General features: G+C 40.3%; 1 protein-coding gene across 3 annotated transcripts in view, besides 4 other annotated features; it reads right to left on the bottom strand.

The window, feature by feature from the left end:
• The window catches only part of SLC38A4 (solute carrier family 38 member 4), a 67,671-nt gene extending 58,141 nt beyond the window's left edge, over window positions 1-9,530 (bottom strand). For 2 of the 3 annotated variants that reach the window (NM_001143824.2, NM_018018.5), the window contains exon 1: window positions 3,002-3,096. The gene's annotated coding sequence lies outside the window, so the exon portion shown is untranslated. Of the gene's footprint in view, window positions 1-3,001; window positions 3,097-9,425 lie in introns of those variants that run through there. The other variant, XM_005268997.3, reaches the window with a different exon arrangement.
• Window positions 2,556-3,114: an enhancer, noted in NCBI's record as "H3K4me1 hESC enhancer chr12:47219240-47219798 (GRCh37/hg19 assembly coordinates)". NCBI's record gives its function as "activates a minimal SCP1, AML or CMV promoter by ChIP-STARR-seq in primed H9 embryonic stem cells {active_cell/tissue: H9 hESC(primed)}" and the evidence as "EXISTENCE:reporter gene assay evidence [ECO:0000049][PMID:30033119]".
• Window positions 3,115-3,672: an enhancer, noted in NCBI's record as "H3K4me1 hESC enhancer chr12:47219799-47220356 (GRCh37/hg19 assembly coordinates)". NCBI's record gives its function as "activates a minimal SCP1, AML or CMV promoter by ChIP-STARR-seq in primed H9 embryonic stem cells {active_cell/tissue: H9 hESC(primed)}" and the evidence as "EXISTENCE:reporter gene assay evidence [ECO:0000049][PMID:30033119]".
• Window positions 8,631-9,439: an enhancer, noted in NCBI's record as "H3K4me1 hESC enhancer chr12:47225315-47226123 (GRCh37/hg19 assembly coordinates)". NCBI's record gives its function as "activates a minimal SCP1, AML or CMV promoter by ChIP-STARR-seq in naive H9 embryonic stem cells {active_cell/tissue: H9 hESC(naive)}" and the evidence as "EXISTENCE:reporter gene assay evidence [ECO:0000049][PMID:30033119]".
• Window positions 15,709-15,895: a silencer, noted in NCBI's record as "fragment chr12:47232393-47232579 (GRCh37/hg19 assembly coordinates)". NCBI's record gives its function as "represses an EF-1alpha promoter that drives an FKBP-Casp9 reporter gene in an ReSE screen in K562 erythroleukemia cells {active_cell/tissue: K562}" and the evidence as "EXISTENCE:reporter gene assay evidence [ECO:0000049][PMID:32094911]".

Below are 20,152 nucleotides of genomic sequence, written 5' to 3' on the forward strand. Positions count from 1 at the left end.
TACCATGATAATATTATGAAATAGTTTTAAAGTAATTATGCAACATACACAGTTTAACATATAGTTTAAAAGTAATTATACAATGCACATAAGGCATTTCTATTTTACTTTTCTTTCAAAAACTGCATTACTTCCCTTCAAAGAAAAAGCTTTAAAAAATCAGAAAACAACCCTCCCATCACCCTGTAAAAAACAATGCCTGCAATGTTGAGCATCATAGTCAATATATTTACATTTCTTATCACACCTTCCTAATGACTGTCATCATTAGTCAAATAAGTAAACAGTATAAGAGCGGTATGCAAAATTCAGTGGGTCTTTTGTTTGGTCTCGTGACTTACAGAGAAGTGTTCATTCCCTCAAGTTTATAGGATTAAATTATCTGCCCTGCCCACACACACAGGAGATATGACCCAGAAGAACAGCCTGCAAAGCAATGTGAGATATCTAATGTTTACTTAAAATAAAATACATTATAAAGACAGCACAAATGATTCTATTCCATTTCAAAAGACTCAGAAAAGCAGATCTACCTATAAAAAGAGTTATAAATTATTTTAGCTGTGATGTTTCTTCATGTTGAGACTTTGGAACCACCATTGCCAGCTACACTCCATCCTTTCCCAAGATTTAGGACAAGGAATATTTTTCTGGTAACAGAAATCATTAAAACAGAGACTCAGGGCAATGCATTCAGTTAAACTCAAGTCTAGTCAGGGCTCCAGACTGACTGTTTCGTTCTGTGAATTGACAATATGTCTCTGAAATTCCAGAATGTGAAATTCCGAAACCTCAACGGGATATTTACAAATGCTTTCAGATAGTAGTGGATATTTTGTTCTCTTCTCTCTTTGGAGGTGGGAGGAATTCTTCAATGGGTACGGGCTGAAGGGAGGGATTTAGCCTAAGCCTTCCAGGTACTATTCAGAAGTGATGCATTTCCCTTGGCTAGTTACAGCCTCCAGTTTCAAGGTTTCTCATGCTTGTGAGCATGCAGATAAAGAATAACATTTCATTTTAAAACCTGATTTGAAGGGACCTCTGGGAGACCTCCTCCCAGCAGCAGATGAGGTGGAGGTGAAAGTAGTGTAACACTGACAGTCTCTGAACCTGAACATCTGCCCTTGATAGTTGCCCTTGGGCTAAAGATGCTGTTTTGGGCTCTGGGTGACCCCTGTCAAACCCAATAGCTACTCACTGTCATTTCCAGCCATGCCACTGTCCCTCAGTTGGCAGTATGTGTCTGAGCATAGATAGGCAGGGAACTTCCGATTGCAGAGGCATTGTTTTGATTCATTTCAAGAACTCTGAAATGTCTTAACTAAGGTAAAGTAACAGATTACTGTACCAATGTAAAAATTTTAAAAGGTACTAGATTTTATACCTTATTGTCTAAGTACATACTTTTTTTCTGTCCTGTTCCTTTTCTCCTTTCCAATCCTCCAGTGTTTTAAATGAAGATGGAGTGTATACATCCTTTTGCCCTAACACAAACAAATGTCATTTTGAAAATAAAAATATTCACATTTCGTCCTCACACTTTTCACCTCTTCAAGTGCCCTCAAGTACCTCCTTAATCCCACTGAAGTTCCAAGTTTCACTGATTTAAAAAGCAAAGGAAAATGTGCAGCACTAGATAGAGTCAAACAACTGGAATGCTACTTAGCATGAAAAACGACCAAACTATCCATCTACTCAATAACTTGCATGGATCTCAAGAGCATCAAGTTGAGTGTAAAAAGAAAAAAACTCAGTCTCAAAAAGATCACATGCAGTATGATTCCATTTATATAATAGTTTCAGAACGATGAAAATATAGAGATGGAAAACAAGTGGTTGCCGGGGTAGCGAGGAGCAGGTGGAGATAATGATAAAGAGGTGGAACAAGGGAGATCTTATGCAAGATACAGGTGGAAGTTCTGCATCTTGACAGGCCTATAGTGGGTCAGATTGCACAAATCTACACATGTGGCAAAATGGCATAGAAACTATACACACATTATTCCAATGTCAGCTTCCTGGGTTTAATATTATACTAAAGTGTGTCAGATGTAACCACTGGAGGAAACCAGGTGAAAGGTTTAGGTGGCCTCTCTGTGCAACTGGATGCAAATATATAATTACTTTAATATACAAAGTTTAAATGTCAGCTTCCTGGGTTTAATATTGTACTAAAGTGTGTCAGGTGTAACCACTGGAGGAAACCAGGTGAAAGGTTTAGGTGGCCTCTCTGTGCAACTGGATGCGAACCTATAATTACTTTAATATACGAAGTTTAAATGTCAGCTTCCTGGGTTTAATATTGTACTAAAGTGTGTCAGATGTAACCCCTGGAGGAAACCAGGTGAAAGGTTTAGGTGGCCTCTCTGTGCAACTGGATGCAAATTTATAATTACTTTAATATACAAAGTTTATATATATATATATATTCCTTACAGATGCCTCTGTACAGAAAGAATAATGAAATATAGCATAGTGGCACATGCCAAAAATGTGTCAGATACCTTCTTTAAAGCATACTGTTACTAAAGAATTACTAAAGTATTGCTTCAAAAGATAAGAAGGAATAAAACAGTAATGACTGCATTCTCAGGACTGCAATAAAATAGCTCTGTTTTCCAGTGTTCTCAACCTTTGGATTGCTTTTCAGGCATTCACAAAGCAAAGTGGGAAACACGAACCCTTTTAGTTAGATCCCTTTAACAATAGAGGTCAGTTTGGTCATACGGTTTTAAAGAATACTCTGCATCCTTGAAACACATTCCTCCCATTTGGAAAAATTCCAGAAACAAGACTATAGCCTGAATAGCACTATCTAGCATGCACGAAACGCTTCTTAAAAGCAAGGACTGCCACAGCCTCTCTTCTTAATGAATCCCTCCCACCCACCTCGTTTTTCAGTGCTTTGCAGTATGTCTTTTTCTCTTTCCCCTTCCACGTTCGTCTCACCCACTCTCCTGGACCCTCTAACCAAGTTGCCACGCAAAAGCAGCAAGCAAACCTGTGTGAGTGGGGTGTCCCGAGGCGGCAGCCTCCCGCGATCCTCCGTGCACGCCACCACCCGGCTCATGCTCCAGGCGCTGCGCACACCCCAGTGGCCGCCCAGGACGTGCGGTCACTGGAGAGCCCCCAGCCACGCCCCTAGATGCTGCTGGGCGGCCTGCAGGAGTACCAACATTGCAGACAGAACAGCGACCTATCCCGCCGTAAGCCAAAGTTGCCTGTTGGTAAATTGCGTCTTTTTTCTTTTTCTTCAACATCTTTATAGTACCGCGAGTGTACCCAGTGTTATTAAATTATGCCAAAACAAAGAGCAAAGTCCCTGCCCTTAGGAGTATGCAGTGTAAAATGAATAAATGACGCAAGGCAAAATGACAGGACAAACACAGGGTGGGTAGAAAGAGTTACGAGTGAAAGGGAAGGTAGAAACAATAAGACTTTCACTGGACCAAAACATGGAAAGGCTGTTAGGGCCCCAAATCTTCATAGCAGATTATAGAAATGAAGAATTGCGATAATATCTATAGTAGCAATCCTATTTTATTGAGTGTTTACGTGCCATGCAGTATCATCATCACAATAATTCTATACCATAGCTGTTGTTTTAAAAAGTGCCAGATATGATTCTAAATGTTTTACAAATATTCACTAATTTGATCCTCCTAAAATCCCTGTGAGGTTGGAACTATTATTTTCCCCATTTCAGAGATGAGTGAAGCAATAAAGTGGACTGACTTGCTCAAGGTAACTCAGGCAAAAAGTGGGAGAGCCAAAATTGGAACCCAGGAAGTTGGATGGTAGAGTCAAGATCTGAGCCCAGGAAGCCCAACTTTATGATGGCATTAGGATTCATATCCACATTACCTTGCCTACCAAGCTTATACTCTTAATCATGTGCAATCATGCAAATTAAGTAAACAATTTAAAAGTATTTGTATTGACTATAAACAATGCACAAAATCATTTTGCAAAGGCCTTTAGTAGGTCCATGAAAAAAATGTTTATTTGAAGAATATTTTCTGTCAAAAAACAGAAAGAAACATGTTTTCTTTCTTCCTTCATTCATTCAACAAACATGTACCAGTGTCTGTTTATACCAGGCACTGTGTTAGGCATCAGGGTGACAGTAGTGAACAAAAGAGACAAAATTGAGGGGAAACAAGGGAACTGAGATAATAGTCATTTTAATCATGAATACACATTAGATTTATTGGGAACAATAGGCAGAAATAGCCAACAAGAAATAATCATATACAGGGAATGACATTCTCTGGGCTGGACTGTCTGGCATGAGTATTATTTAGTTCTTTTTTCCATCTCCTCTCCTTTTTCCTTTGTTTTAGTTATGATAGAGGAAATCACGCTATCGAAAAACATTTCGTATGGACATTTGCTAACATTTCAAATAATGCTTTGGGTGGTAGAAGTAATTGAATTCCCTTCCTAATAACATTATGACCAAGAGTATTTTACAAGCATGGATATGGTAAAGAGGTATGCAGACCTCTGAGCTTGGAATAAAAACCTGGAATAATAGATCCTTACAAAACAAAAGTTGTCAAAGTCTGTTATGAAAACCCAGGATCTTGACTGGCATAAACATCTACTAAAAAGATAAAAGGATAGCATTTGTTACTGTCATTCAATTCCCTACATCACCTTTTAAAAATACATTTGTACTTCCTGACTCTGCTATAATATACTAAAATGAAAAATATAGCCATTAAAAACTAAAATCAGAAGAGAAATCCCCTCCACCTCTCCCCTCATAAAAGCATAGAAGAACATTTGTTTGGATTTTGTTGTATGTTTGTGTAAATTTTATCTATGCTAAAATAGAATATGCCCTTGAGAACCAGAAAAATAATTTGGTTTTCCCTCAAATGGAAAGATAAGACTTTGTTGTCTTATCTTTCCATTTGAGCACTGGTTTTAAATCCTAACATTAAAAGCAATCAAAAAAGCTGTATGCTTTCTATTATGGGGCCATAATAAAATAATAAAATGTATTGCTAATTCCTATGTTCAGTTACTTTGTTCTGTTAGCACAGGTAACTTTCAAAATTCAGGGGAGGGGCAGAGCTAAGGGACACTTGCAGAGAGAATGTGCAAGGATCTCCCTGACCACACCTCCCTCCCCAGCCTCCTCCCAAGCATTCTCTACTGACTAAGAGTACTGAACTCTTAAATTCCTGAACTGACTCCCTCCTTATCCTTTCTCAGTCTGGTCTCTCCACTGAGAGTCCTTTCCTCACATCCTCCAATTCTTTGCCTGGCTAACTTTTATTTCTACTTCAAAACCTTGCTCAGGTACCACCTGGTCTTGAAATGTTCTCTGACCCCTTTCCTAAGCCAGGTTCTCTGGTAGAGTATTCAAATCTGATTTTTCCTTTTTTTTATTTTTATTTTTGTTTGTTTTGTTGGTTGGTTGTTTGTTTGAGATGGAGTCTCGCTCCGTCGCCCAGGCTGGAGTGCAGTGGCATGATCTTGGCTCACTGCAACCTCTGCCTCCTGGGTTCAAGCAATTCTCCTGCCTTAGCCTCTCGAGTATCTGGGACTACAGGCGCACGTCACCACATCCAGCTAATTTTTGTAATTTTTAGTAGAGATGGTGTTTCACCATATTGGTCAGGCTGGTCTGGAACTCCTGACCTCAGGTGATCCACTCTCCTCAGCCTCCCAAAGAGCTGGGATTACAGGCATGAGCCACGGTGCCCAGCCTTTTCCCTGGTTTTTAATCATGCTGTATTGCAAATGTTTCCTTATCTATTCTTTCCTCCAGTAGACTCATTCATTGTTCCACAAATATTTCTTGAGCACCTGGTATTTGCCCAGCACTGTGCTAGGTGCTAGGAAGATAGGAATAAAAGAAACTCCCTAATATAGTTCTTTGAAGATAGTAACACTTGATAATTATTTATGGAATGAATGAGTGAAATTAGGTCATTATATACACAGTGGAAGAAAGAACTAAGAGACATGAAAGTGATTCTGTTTTTCCATTTCTCCTATCTCTCACACCATACTGTGTTATGTAACACATTTCTAACACCCTTGTTTCCTTAAGTTTTTGTTCTCCTCCCTCTGGTTGTCTTTATTTTACTGCTGTCTTTATTGCAACAAGCAGGAGCTTTTGCATAGGATGAATTTTATTCTAATATCAGCATTGTTACTTACTAGCTTTGTGACTCTTGGCTCTTTCCTTAACCTCTTCAATTTCCTGTCTGTAAAACAGAGATAACAAATACCTATAGAATAGAGTATCATGTGAAGATTAAATGAGATTCACATTAAAGGGCTTAGTATAAAGACTGGCTCTTAAAGCACCTTTCCTTTCACTTGTCCCTCCCCTACTTCTACCTCTTATCCTTCCTGCAGAACATCATCAGGGCAGTAGTGGCTTGCAAGATGATTTCAATTGATAGGTGGAAGCACATTTTTTAAAACTGTGTAATCATTTTGATATATTATTGTTTTGATGTATATAAAATATATAACAGCCTTTGATTTTTATAGAAATATTTGCTTTGGATATGTAAAAAGTAAAAAAAAAAAAAAGGAGGGTTAAGGTTCTAAAAATAGGATAAGGCAAAAAGAAAAAAACAACGTCCACAAGCTGTTATGTGTACATCACGAAGTCCACAAGCTGTTAAGTGTACTGTGATTGTCCTCACCACGTTTGTGCTGATAAACTGACATGGAACACAGGTACACTATTCCTTTCTCAAATGTCACTTATATAGAAAAAAGTCCAGTCCTAAGACTGCAAAGATTCAGAGAGTCCAGCTGCGTGATCATGTCTTTAGCTTGCTTGGAATAGGATTAGTCTGTAATAGAATAAGAAGTCAGCCCCAGGTCCTTAGAAGTCACCTGTCCAGCTCTGCCCTTGATAAAGAACAAAGAATTGTTCATTTACGTTTATGAACAATTAATGCCCAAGTAGAACTTCCAAAATATTTTGTGTTCTTCACACTGTGTATCTCCATTTTCTGATCTATAAAATGGGTATAATAATAGAATCTATCTCATAAGTTTGTTATGAAGGTCAAATGTTAACATAAAGGAAGTACTTAGAAACATATAATGTAAAAGTTCCTACATATGTGTGAGCCGGAATTACCATTAATCTAGTTCAGACCAGCCTCCAGCTTGCCTCCTGTCCCAGCAGCCTCCAAAAAAAGTTATTTATCTCTTTACACCACCAATCTTCCAGCCTTTTGTTGCTTTGTGATAAAATCAGCCTGATAAAAAGTTTCCTTTCTCTGGACACTGGTATTCAGAAATATGGAAAGATCAGATATTCTTTTCAATGTCTCTATTTTTACAGACTTCTACCCAAAACTTAGATTTTCTATAGATTTATTTGTTAGAATTTAAGAAATTCTCTCTCTCTCTCTCACACACACACACACACACACACACACACACACTCTTCTTGTGTTGCACAGGAAAGAGTTCACCAATTTCAGCGACTTTTTAGGAGACTTGCTTGTAGTGGGAACAACAACAAAATACAACATAGGCTGATTTCTCCCACCCCCTGCTAGGCCCTGGAAATTGAGATCTATGTGTAGGATGCTCTCTTTACAACATAACACATTTTAGCCCTAATGATTATGTCACAGCTACCCAGAAGCAAAAAAGGATGGCTGTAGGATAGCTAGAAATCGGGAACAGGCCATCCACTGTTGAAGCTCTGGCCTCTTTCCGCTTCCTTTAAGGTGAGAAACTGCCTGCCCACCCGCCCCCGTCCGCACAACTAAGTGGATAACCAAGCAGTGGGTCCTTTAGCCTTGGAGGATGGGGCTCTGGGCTAGGGAGAGTCTGCGGGAAGTGCCTGCCAGGATGGGCTTATTGCTCTAGAGCCACTCCTACTACCTTCACACTGTGCATTTAAGACCTCGGCATTTAATATCTCCCTGAGACAGGTAGAGATGCAGCTTTTACTCTGAGAAATAGACAAGCGCCAACCTGTCCCGGCCCTAGCCGGGAGATTCACAAGTGCTCAAGTTCACAAGTTTCACAAGTGCCCGCATCACTGCCTCCTGCACTCCTCTGCAAATGCCCTGGCACACCCGCGACCACGTATCCCTGAGTTTCCTAACTTAGTTCACCCCTTTTCCTCCAAGTCAGCAGCCCGGTGAGCATTCCAGGGTCAGTCCTGGTGCTCAAAGTAAGGGCAATCTTCCATCTCTGCCTGCTGGATCACAAAGAGGAGCTGGGAGATTCGCCGTTTTCCCCCACAACCGGCACCTGCCCTGGCCCAGAGCGCAGCGTCCACCTGTACCACCGCTAGATGAAGAGTACCTCACCGCGCGCTGCCTGGGCGCACAGCTGGTGTGCCGCGCTCGCCACCTCTCCTGGACTCAAGGGTGCTCCCGGCTTACGCTTCTCGGGGCTTCCCGGGTCCGGGTTCCCTCTCCCCCGTCTCACTTTCTTCCTTCATTCGCTCTTCTCTCAATTTTTCCTCCATCAGCTCTAACCTGTAATCAATTCCCGCCTTCTGCCCCTCCTCCCTAGGCTTCTCTTAGCTCGGTTGCCGCGACCCCACTATCCGTCCCCGTTCGCATTTCTGCACCGCCCTGCCCTTCACTCCAGCGCGCAGCAGGCCGGGCAATCCGACCGCGCGGTAAGCCGCCCTCGGAACCGCTGGCGCAGTTTTCAGACTCGCCCACCGCCCAGAGACCAGGGGCCCACATCCAGCTCTGCTCTCGCCTTCTCCCTTGAAAGAGACTCCTTGGGGGCTCCCCAGGTCAGAGTACCCCGCCCGGGGAATCATGCTGGTCTCTGGGGCGACCCAGCTATCAGAGACGACAGTTCTATTTTAAGCCTTCCACCCAGTGTCCCCGACCTGAGGACGCGGGCGCGGGTCCAGGGACTCGGGTAACACCTTGCCAGCAGGATCCCGGGCGGTCGCGGAGCCAGCTCCCGCGGGGGAAGTCGGGCCTCTCAGCCAGGCAGGCGGCGCGGCCACGGAACGCAGTCCCAATACAACCAACTCGAAATCCAACAGCCCAGGGAATCCCAGTGCGGGAGGCGGAGGTGCCCCATACCCCAGCCCTCCTGGAATAGGCTACCTTGGCACAACCGCTTCTCCTTGAAAAGAAGTCACACATGAGCCCGCCCAATCAGTCTCTTCCCTCCATGTGCCCTAGTTTACGTTATTTCTAGTCAACCGAATCATTAGCCTGCAATAACCCACCCAAAGCGTGAATGTTTGGAAAATAATAAGAATTAGGAACTATGAGCATGTCATGAAGAGCCCCAGACATAAGCCCCAGATGATTGAGAGACCGGGCTACACACGTGTGGATGTCCCCCGTGCATACACACAAGCACCCATCCGATAGGCTGGGATCCAGCTGCAAGTTTGGACACTGACAAGTCTCAAGTCTAACAGGAAATACAAAAAAAAATTCACTCACCCGCCTCTTTTACTACCCTTTCCAGACTGGGATTCAGGGAAAGTATCAGAAAGGGATGGATGGAGAGACCCTTCTTTCTTTTCTTTTCGCCTTTCTAAAGAGTGGAAATTTCCATCATGTGATAGGGGCAACATCCCCAGTGTCGCGTTTCCTGCGGACCCTCCCTTCCAGGCCAGCCACCAATCGTCAGGCGGCAACCTGAGAAGTAGACCAAAGCATCCTCCCAGGTGGGGCTGAGATGTCCAGCTGTCCTTCAGGAGTGAAGCCTGGAAGCCCGGTCCCTGCTCCCTCTTTCCTGGGTCCGGGATAACCGAGAAGATCCTGGTGTGGGTTTATTTTTCGACGGTTAGATTTCTTCCATGAGTCAAGGTTGCATTTATTGGATCTGTCCTATAAGCTGAAGTACATGTGGATCTTTATTTTAAAGTCTGTAAAAGAGTGTTCAGGGTAGATGACTCACTAAATTTCCTCCTGGTATGGAGGTGACAAACGTGAACTTTACATAAAGAAAAAGAAACATTTGAGGAAGGAGTACAAATGAAAAACCTGTCATTCACAGTAAACGTCACTTTATGCATGAAAGAAATGGGATAACTTGCTAGTACTTAAGAGTGGGTCTTTGGTGATAATTTTTTTTTCTAGAATTCCAGTTTAAGCACAATCCTCAGTACATATGAAGAAGGAATTAGGCTATAATAATAAATAGCATTCGAACGTTAATTCTATTTGTTAAAGTTACAACCTACCATTGTAAGGAAAATTATTTACGTTGAAACTATTCTCTAGTATTAAACAAAATTCTTGTTTCGAAGAAGGCCTGTGTAACAAATATGTTCACAATCCCCCATTTATTTAGTAGTGAGTTGTCATTCTTTAGGGAAAGAAAACTATCCTATGGAGACGTTGAACCCACAGTGTAACTAACTCTCCAGGCAACACAATTTACCTTTTGTATTCTCACACATCCAGTTTAACTTTATTCAGAATGGCAAGTTTCACTGCCTGTCCATACTGTCCACCTAGAACCTTCTCGTTTTATAGCTCCCAATAACTAAAACCAGCAACAGCTTAGTGCTTTAAAAAAATAAGATAACAGCAGAAACTCACCTGGATAATGCATAATAATCAGAAACACTAAGAACACAGGATTAATGCACACACACATACACATCAAACTGTACTAGGACAATCTGACAATACAGATTCAATAGAAGGATGATGTAACACACTTTCACTGGAGCTACAATTTTAGAAACTAAAAAAAATTATATAAAAATGTTTGTTTTGTAAAAACTGATTTTCTTCTGAGCCCCCAAGCAAATACGGTAAACCTCTCTATCATAGCAAGAAGTTTACATTTTGTGGAATTAGACTGTATCAGAATAGTTTTGAATTCCCTATAAGCTTGTTGAAACTAGATTCTCTACACATTATCACACTTCTCCATTGATTCTTACTTTATAAATATAAACATCTTTTATAAAGCTACTAAAATGTCAAAATTGGTAGGATTTGGAGAGAATTAGTGAGATCAAGGTAGATACACATTTCTCTTTTCCTAACCTGCGATTTAGTAAAAGCAAAACTCAGGTTTATAAAACAAAAAGCCATTCCAGAGAAGGAAGACTCAAATGAAGGTAAGATCATTTGAGTCTTCTCAAGATAAGTAATTCCACGACACAAACTGGTTTACTGTGCAACTGCTCAACGTTTTTTGTTTTTTTGTTTTTTTGTTTTTTTTTTTTTGAGACGGAGTCTCACTCGTCGCCCAGGCTGGAGTGCAGTAGCCCAATCTCGGCTCACTGCAAGCTCCGCCTCCTGGGTTCACGTCATTCTCCTGCCTCAGCCTCCCGAGTAGCTGGGACTACAGGCGCCCGCCGCCACGCCCGGCTAATTTTTTGTATTTTTAGTAGAGACGGGGTTTCACCGTGTTAGCCAGGATGGTCTCGTGATCCGCCTGCCTTGGCCTCCCAAAGCGCTGGGATTACAGGCGTGAGCCACCACGCCTGACCGCAACTGCTCAACTTTTAAAGGGACTGCTTATTTAATCAGTTCTTGACATCATATCTTAGCTAGTACAGAAGAGATCAAAAGCAGTGGTTCATGGTCTAATGTAATAGAGAACTATGAGTTATGCATTTATATGTGCTAGTAATATTAATCAGGTTGTGGGTTGAGGTTAAATGAGTCTTGTATTCATCTATAAAACAATAAAATTATGGCTATTATACATCAGTAGAGTCTGAGAAGATCTAACGCAATGCCTAGGTAGGATAAGACAACTGACAACTCTTTATTTTCTGTGTTACAATAAAAAGTTTGAACCATTAATGGCCACATTGAATCTGCTCACCAATCCTCAAGGGTTTCTTTTAAACTAGTGTTTGAAAGGATGGGAAGCAATTCTAACTAATGACATGAGTATTCCTGAAGGCCACATTGTGAAACACATTTTGGTTTCTCCTCAGATCATTCACTGGCTGTAGAGTACATAGCTTGATTTAGAATCCCAGAGTCACCACCTACTAGCTATGGAAACTTGGACAAGTCTCTTTAGCTCTTAGTGGCTCAGTTTGTCATCTGAAAAATACAGAATGTTTCCTGATACATTGCTTTCCTGGCTTAAGTCAAGTTCAGACAGTACTACAAACACACTTAGTGATGGAGAAAAACAGAAGTTTACAGAACAGTTAGAATTTACTCATCATTTTGATAAAGCTGAATTGATTGGAACACTCTAAAATTATTTTAACACTCTGGTTTTAGGAGTGGTCATTGGTTTTGTTGTGGTTGCTTTTGTTTTAAGAAAAATCTATATTTAAAAATTTATGAAATATATTTTTCAGAACTGAAGCTAATGCTTGTAGACAGAGTTCTATGCTGCAACAAGTTTAAAATAACACTGTTACAATTATCGTGATTCCTCAAAGGTTTTATTTTTTAAATAGATGTACATATTATCTGAAGCACATGTGATAATTTAATACATTCATATAATTTGTAAAGATCAAATCAGTGTAATTGGGCTATTACCTTAAATATTTATCTTTTCTTTATACTAGAAACATTAAAATTATTCTCTTCTAGCTATTTTGAAATATACAATCAATTATTATTGTTAACTATAGTCATCCTACTAATCTATTACATGCTAGGGCTTATTCTTTCTATCTAACTGCACTTTTGTACCCACCAATCTTCTCTTTATTTTTATGAGATCCACTTTTTTAGCTCCCATATGTCACTGAGAAAATGCAATATTTGTCTCTCTGTGTATGGCTTATTTTAGTTAGTGTAATGACCTCCAGTTTTATCCACGTTACTGCAAATGACAGGATTTCATTCTTTTTTCAGCTGAATAATATTCCCTTGTATATATATATCACATTTTCTTTATCCATTCTTCCATTGATGGACACCTAGATTGATTCCATATTTTGGCAATTTTGAGTATTACCACAAAAAACATGGAAGTTTAGATATACCTTCAATATATTGATTTCCTTCCTTTTGGATATATACCCAGAAGTGGAGCTGTTGGATTATATAGTAGTTCTATTGTTAGTTTTTTGAGAACCTCCATACAGTTATCCATAATGGCTATACTAGTTTATATTTCCACCAACAGTGCATGAGGGTTCCTCTTTCTCCACTTCCTTGCCAGCATCTGTTACTTCCTATCTTTTTGATAAAAGCCATTTTAACTAGGGTGAGATGACATAGTTTTTTTAAAAAAAAATTAAATGTAATTATGTATGTTTTTCTAACTTATATTTTAAGTTCAGGGGTACATGTGCAGGATGTGCAGGTTTGTTACATTGGTAAACGTGTGTCATGGGGGTTTCTTGTATAAATTACTTCATCACCCAGGTATTAAGCCTAGTACCCATTAGTTATTTTTCCTGATTCTCTCCCTCATTCCACCCTTCACCCTCTGATAGGCCCCTGTGTGTTGTTCTCCTCTATATGACCATGTGTTTTCACCATTTAGCTCCCACTTATAAGTTAGAACTTGCAGTATTTGGTTTTCTGTTCCTGCATTGGTTTGCTAAGGCTAATGGCTGCCAGCTCCATCCATGTCACTGCAAAGGACATGATCTCATTCTTTTTTATGGCTGCATGGTGCTTATTGTCATTTTGATTTGTATTTCTCTGATGGTTGGTGATATTGAGCATTTTTTCATATGCCTGTTGGCCATTTGTATGTCTTCTTTTGAAAATTTTCTATTCACACCCTTTGCTAATTTTTTTAATTTTAGGTTTTTTTTTCTTTTTGCTATTGAGTTATTTGAGCTTCTTGTATATTCTGGTTATTAATTCCTTGTCAGAAGGATAGTTTGCAAATATTCTCCCATTCTGTGAGTTTTATCTTCCCTTTGTTGATTTGTTGTTGTTGTTTGCCATGCAGAAGCTTTTTAGCATGATATAATCCCACTTGTCTGTTTTGGCTTTTGTTGCCTGTGCTTTTTAGGTCTTGCACAAAAACTCTTTGTCCAGAACCATGTCTTGGAGAATTTCCCCCAATGTTTTCTTCTAGTAGTTTCATAGTTTCAGGCCTTAGATTTAAGTCTTTAATCCATTTTGATTTGATTTTTGTGTATGATGAGAGATTGGGGTCTAGTTTCCTTCTTCTGCATATATATGTCCAGTTTTCCCAGCACCATTTCTTGAAGACTGTCCCTTCCCCAGTGTATGCTCTTGGTGCCTTTGTCGAGAACATGTTGGCTGTAAATGTGTAGATTTATTTCTGGGTTCTCTATTATGTTCCATTGGTCTATATGTCTATTTTTATGCCAGTACTATGCAGATTTGGTTACTATAGCTTTGTAGTATATTTTGAAATCAGGTATTGTGATACCTCTGGCTTTGTACTTTTCAATCAGGATTGCTTTGGCTTTTTGGGGTGTTTTGTTCTTTGAGGTTTTTAATTAGTCAAAAACTCGATGACACTCTTAAGTTGGGATAGAGCATGCAGTATTTCTCTATGATCATGATTTGTGAAGGAATATCTCACAGGTTTAATGATCCAGAGAACCATTAATAGACTAATATAAACATATGCCTTAGGAAGGACATAGAACATAATTATTATTTAAACACCATATAATAGTGCTACGAAGTTCATTTGTTTATGGATTATCATCGTGAAGTCTGATTGCAGTGATTTTAGTAGGCTTTTATATAATTAATGTTTTATTTGACAGTAGAGTTTTAACATGAGTTATTTTTCAATGAATAGTTATCATAATTAGTAAAGTGGCTTTAGGTTTCAAAGTATCTTCACATGTGTTATGCTACTTTATACCAAAACAATCCTGTCATGTAGGTATTTTTATTTTCCCCTTTCAATGGGAGAGGAAATTGGGTTCAGAGAGGTTAAGTGACTTTTCCAAAGACATGGGGCCAATAAATGACAAAACTAAAGTATGAACTAGGTTTTCTGGCTCTAAATTCAACATCCCTCCTTCCACAGCTCACTTCCCTTTTCTTCTGAGCATTTTCTTTACTAATACTCATTATTGCTTTTCTGTCTACAGTGGAGCCAACCCCAAATGGCATGTTTAGCCATAAAATTATGATTTTAAAAATAAATTTCTATAAAGTAATCTTTTGCTTTGTCATAACTGCAGGAACCTCTGTAAGTCTTCTAATGATAGTAAAATGTTTTTATTTTGTATGAATTTGGATTTGATTTATGTTGAAACCTTAGTTCAAGAGAGGTGACTAATTGATCCTTATACTTGGGTGGTCTTTATATCCTACAATTGCTCCAATTCTGGGTATTTGCTTCCCTTATTCCTTGGTTGCCAGAATTAAACTCCACCTTCCTCTTATTTGCCTTCTGAAGAGATAGAGAATATTAATCTATTTTCTAATTTTCACAAGGCTAAATCTAAAATGAAACAAAACTTGCAAAGTTGTACAGAAACATTCAACTTTTCATCTTCAAATGCAGGTGTCATGAAAGGGGTCAGAATTAGGTGCTCATTTTCATTCCCCTCCAGTGTTTGGTTGTTCAATGCTGCAGTGTTGTTTCTATTATGTCTCATCATGTAATCAGTTGTTTGCATGGTTCCTCTTGATCCTGCAAGTCCTGTAGATGCTTTGTCAGAATATTTTTGCTGAATAAATCAGTGAATGGATGGATGGATAAATCAATTCAAGCTTTTCTACTTTTCAGAAGTTTTGCTGAGTAAATAATTTTATTAAAGGTGAGAATATAATTGTATCAAACAAAACATTTTTGATTGAAATACTACTATGAAAAACACTTTGCAATGTAGGGGTTCTAAAATTACAACCTAATTTGATGAGGGGCCTTACCTTACTTTGGTCTGGAAGAGAGAAACCTTCCTAACCTATGTGATACATTGGAGGATTTGAATCTGACTGGAGTCATCTTCTGTGCCTCTTCATGCAACAGCCACTGACCAGGAGCCATTCTGCCTCCTACTCCCCTTTGGGGACCAGTGCTCTTCCAGCCCCTTCTCTGATGAGACTTTCAGAAAGGTGAAAGGTCTGGACCTGGCCCTTGTCTCTCATTGCCGTCCTGCCTGATCAGCCCACAAAGGCAGGACTCTACATAATGACAAGTTCTGAAGAGTGAAACACATGTCAGGGGTATTCCAGAATAGAAAAGTAAACTTGAAATTCTGGCTAATTTGGCTTCATAAAGGAAGGCCCTGGCACAAACACCTTCTCAAGGAATTTGTGCCTCTCAGACACTGACCTACCTTGAGATGTCTCTCCCTCTGGGCTCGGCCTGCCCATAGGTAGACCCCTATTCAAGTCTGGTGACCCCATCTCCTCCCTTGGAAAACCAGGGGCTGTCCACATTTATTCATCCTCTGATACAACAGTTATTTATTGGGTACCTCCTAAAGGCTAGATGCTAGGAACAGAATAGTGAGCAAAACCAGGCACAATCCCCATCTTTGTGGAGTTTATAATTTGGTAGAAGCAAGTATTCTAATCAAAAAGTGACAGGAATAAACATAGGATGACAAAACTGCAGGGATGAAAAGATACACTGGGTCTGGGGAGAGACTTCACTGAGGAAATGACTCAAAGATGAATACGAGAAAATGTTTGTTTCTTAAAGACGATTGCAACTCAGCATATTTATATGCTGTAGGATGCCCAAGCCTGCAGTTGAAGCAGGTTATGAGCTGGTGCTCCTGAGATGGTGGGGGGAGGGGGATTCATCTCAGTGGAGCAGTTGCCTTAGGTAGCAAAACGGACACCTGACCTCCTCAGCTGTTCTCTACTCATTTTCTTCAGAGCCAGATAAGCTCTAGTCTCCAAAACGGGATAAATGTGGAACTAAAATTCCAATTCTGTCTCCCCACCATAGGCTGGTCTATGTGACTAGGTTTCCTGTGAATCCATATACCTCTCAAAGACATGCATTACTTTTCTAGAGATAGCCAGGGTTACTTTTATTATCCTGGCCCTTTCTTAATAGCTGAAAATCTCATCCACCCCCCAATGCAGTGCTTTTGTCTTTGCCCTGCCCTAGGTCAGCCACATGGCTCTAAACATCAGAGTACACTACTTGTCCGTGGTTGCTCCCTTTGCTATCTGGAAGAAATGATCCAGCTCGGTGGAATCTTTTTGATATCAGATCCTCCACTGATGAGCAAGATGGGGCATAAAGGAATTTGTTAATTCAACTTGCCACAAAGAGTTCAGAAAAAAAAAAGTCTGGCCCTTATAATAAACCAGACTGTGAACTGGAAAAACCTGGGTGAGTCAGAAGGAATGAGCCCCTGATACAAGGCCAGAGTACCTCCACTTTAAGGAGGATTTGGTACTTGATGTCAAGAGAGGTTCCTTTAACCCTTAGACACATGAACAAACAGAAAAGTGGGAAAGTCAATATGTAACTGAGATTTACACGCAGTCCTACATTTGTTCTTCAGTTTGTGTTGACATATTGCAGCATGTAGTATGTTAGGAAAGATGTGTTGCAAGATCCTGCAATATTTAATGTGTAAAGAACAAAGTCACACCTTAATTCTAGGTTCTGATTTTGCGTTTTTTAATGCAACCAGTTTTCATGCTACCAGTATAATTAGTATCATCAAGGGTAAATCTCACCAGACAAACTCAACCATCCCTTTTTAAAGGTATGAGCTAGTATATGAGTTTGTCTAGATGATCATGGCATTTGATATCCGAATATAAATTCCAAACATCCTCATCAAATAAGGTCTTCTGCTCATCAACCCATTATTCTGTTACCCTTGCTGTCAATTTAAAATTATCCCACCAGGGAGAGTCCCTACCCTTTACCGAAGCACAACCTTCTTTAGGTTGGCGATAAACAGAAGAGTAAGTTGGATGGAGGGTGACTTTGGCACACTGTCCAACCTTCTCCTTTAAGTGTCTTTCCTTTTCCTATTGTCCCTTGATGCCTGTCCACTGCTCTATTTCCTATTTCTTGCAGGGCAAAAATGTTAATTCTACCAAGTATGAAAGCAAATTCTCTACTCTTCCTCTGGGTGTGGTGTCTCAATCTCTAGATACTCCATCAAAATTTAATGTCCTCTCATTTTATCAGCAGCTTGTTCTTACTTAGATGTCAGCAGACTGAATATCTAGGGGAAGCAAGCATTTAGGCACTACCAAAACCAAAACCCACAGGGAGTTACCTCTTCTGCGTGCCTCCAGAGCAAGCCCTGCAAAGACCTATATTATGGGAAGCCTAGGAGATGTCCTGATATGAGACAGGCTCACCCTTTCCAGAGCTGACCTAGAAAAAATATGACCATTTGACATCTGTCTAATATGTCTTCAGCTTTCTCTTGCCCCATTGACAGATGGCATCCCAGGGTTCTTATGTTCTCATTCTTCTTTAATTCTCTATTAAAACCTGTTCAGAGAAAAAGGCCTGATAAGCCCACTGGATTAAGATGTGAGAATAAAGCTACTATCTTCTGCTTATTAAGCCACAATTTTTTGAACACTTACATGCTGGATAATGTTAAGATACAGAGACAAATTTGACGCTCTCTATTCTTAACAGTGTAGTCTGGTGGAGGGGCGTGTTATGTAAAAAGAAGAATTCTACATGAAAGTAATTGTGGGGATGGCAGGGAACAGTGCTAAGAAGTATGTACAAAGGAATGTAGAACTAAGTAGCCTCATGGTTCCAACTGAGACATTGTTGGAACATACCTAAACACCCTCCCAAAAACAACGTGGTTGTGTTTAACATCAATTATTACTATTCTTTGGTATTTGAAGGGTTCCTCTTTCCCAAGAATGTTTGCATATTAACAGAATAATAAAATAACCTTCAGGTCAAAGGGATGAATCTCAGGTACCAGGAAGGAATATGAATATCCTTTTAGTCTCTAATGGCTGACAGAGCAATCACAGGTTTGCATCACATTTATCTGCAGCATGGGGTAAAATAGAAACTCCCAGACTCCATTCTGGAGAAGATGGTTCGTAATAACGTTGGGCTGTGGCCCTTGAATCTATATTTTCATGGCATACCACAGGTCATTATAATGGGTAGCCAGATTTGTAAACCGCTGTTCTCTCTCTTGAAATGCATAAAATTAAACCAGGTCAAAAGGATGCCTATTTGGGAGGCAAGCTCTCACCACTTCCTAGGACCCTATCTTAATGTCAGGGAATGACTTGGGCCCAAAGAGCCTTGTGTTCTTTGTGCTTCAGCATCAATAAATGCTGTATGGCTCCTGCTTGCTCCTAAGACCAGGTCCATGCATTTCAGCAGCTGGCGCCAACTGGCCTGAAGCCTGCACCGGGTGAGTGTTTTGTAAAGTAGGCTCCCAGGATGGCACCTTGAATGAGAATGTAAAACATTACCTAGTCCCACTGCAGAGTTACTGAATTATAATTTCTGGGATGAACCCAGGGATCTACATTTTTAACAGGTTCCCCAAGAGGTTCCTGCTCCTGCTAAACTGGGACTATCTAGACCAAGCTCACCCACTGAGCAGACAGATTTGAGGAATGCATTGAGAGGGTGGCAGGTCCAGCAGGTCAAACACAGAACCCACAGATCTGGTAACAACCAGCCATAGTGTGGAGGAGGAGGAGGGCCAAGCAAGGGGAGTGAATCAAGGTCTTGACCTCTAGGCAGAATTAGGAAATTCTAGGCAGTAGTGTGGAGGGAGCGGAGAAGAGACCTGGGATAGGAAACTTAGGGGCACTTTGGTCATGGACTTCTCTTGTCATGGTCCTGGGAACTGGGGACAGGATACCAGTCCCTCCAAGGAAACTGGAGTCCAAGGCAGGTTCCAGAGGAAGAATTTAGATTAGACGAAACAAAGCAGAAACCTATTGTCAATTCTGGCTACCCAAGTGACTCAAGGAAGAGTCCCTGAATATAAGATTCCTCTGGCCTAAGGTGAAACTGATTCTGCAGGTGGAAAATAATATGGCAGCTATGAGTAAAGGGAGGCTAAAGGCTAGGTAGGGCAACACTTGACCACACTACATTGCCCTGGGAAAAAGGAGGATGGCCACGGCATCCTCCCTGCTGGAGGAAGAAATTCTTACACCTGAACTTGGGTGTAATCATTCTATAGTAAGATGTTCTCATAGTACCCCAGTCTTAATGAAGAAATAATTATAAAGAAAAGAGAATGCTGATTAGCTGCAAAAAAGCATTCAATTATATTTTCATTTATGAAAACCAGCTGTTTTATGTAGCCAGCAAAATTAATTTGTATAACTTTTGCTCATTTTAG

This window comes from Homo sapiens, chromosome 12 (genome assembly GCF_000001405.40).
Source record: "Homo sapiens chromosome 12, GRCh38.p14 Primary Assembly".
Classification (NCBI taxonomy): domain Eukaryota; kingdom Metazoa; phylum Chordata; class Mammalia; order Primates; family Hominidae; genus Homo; species Homo sapiens.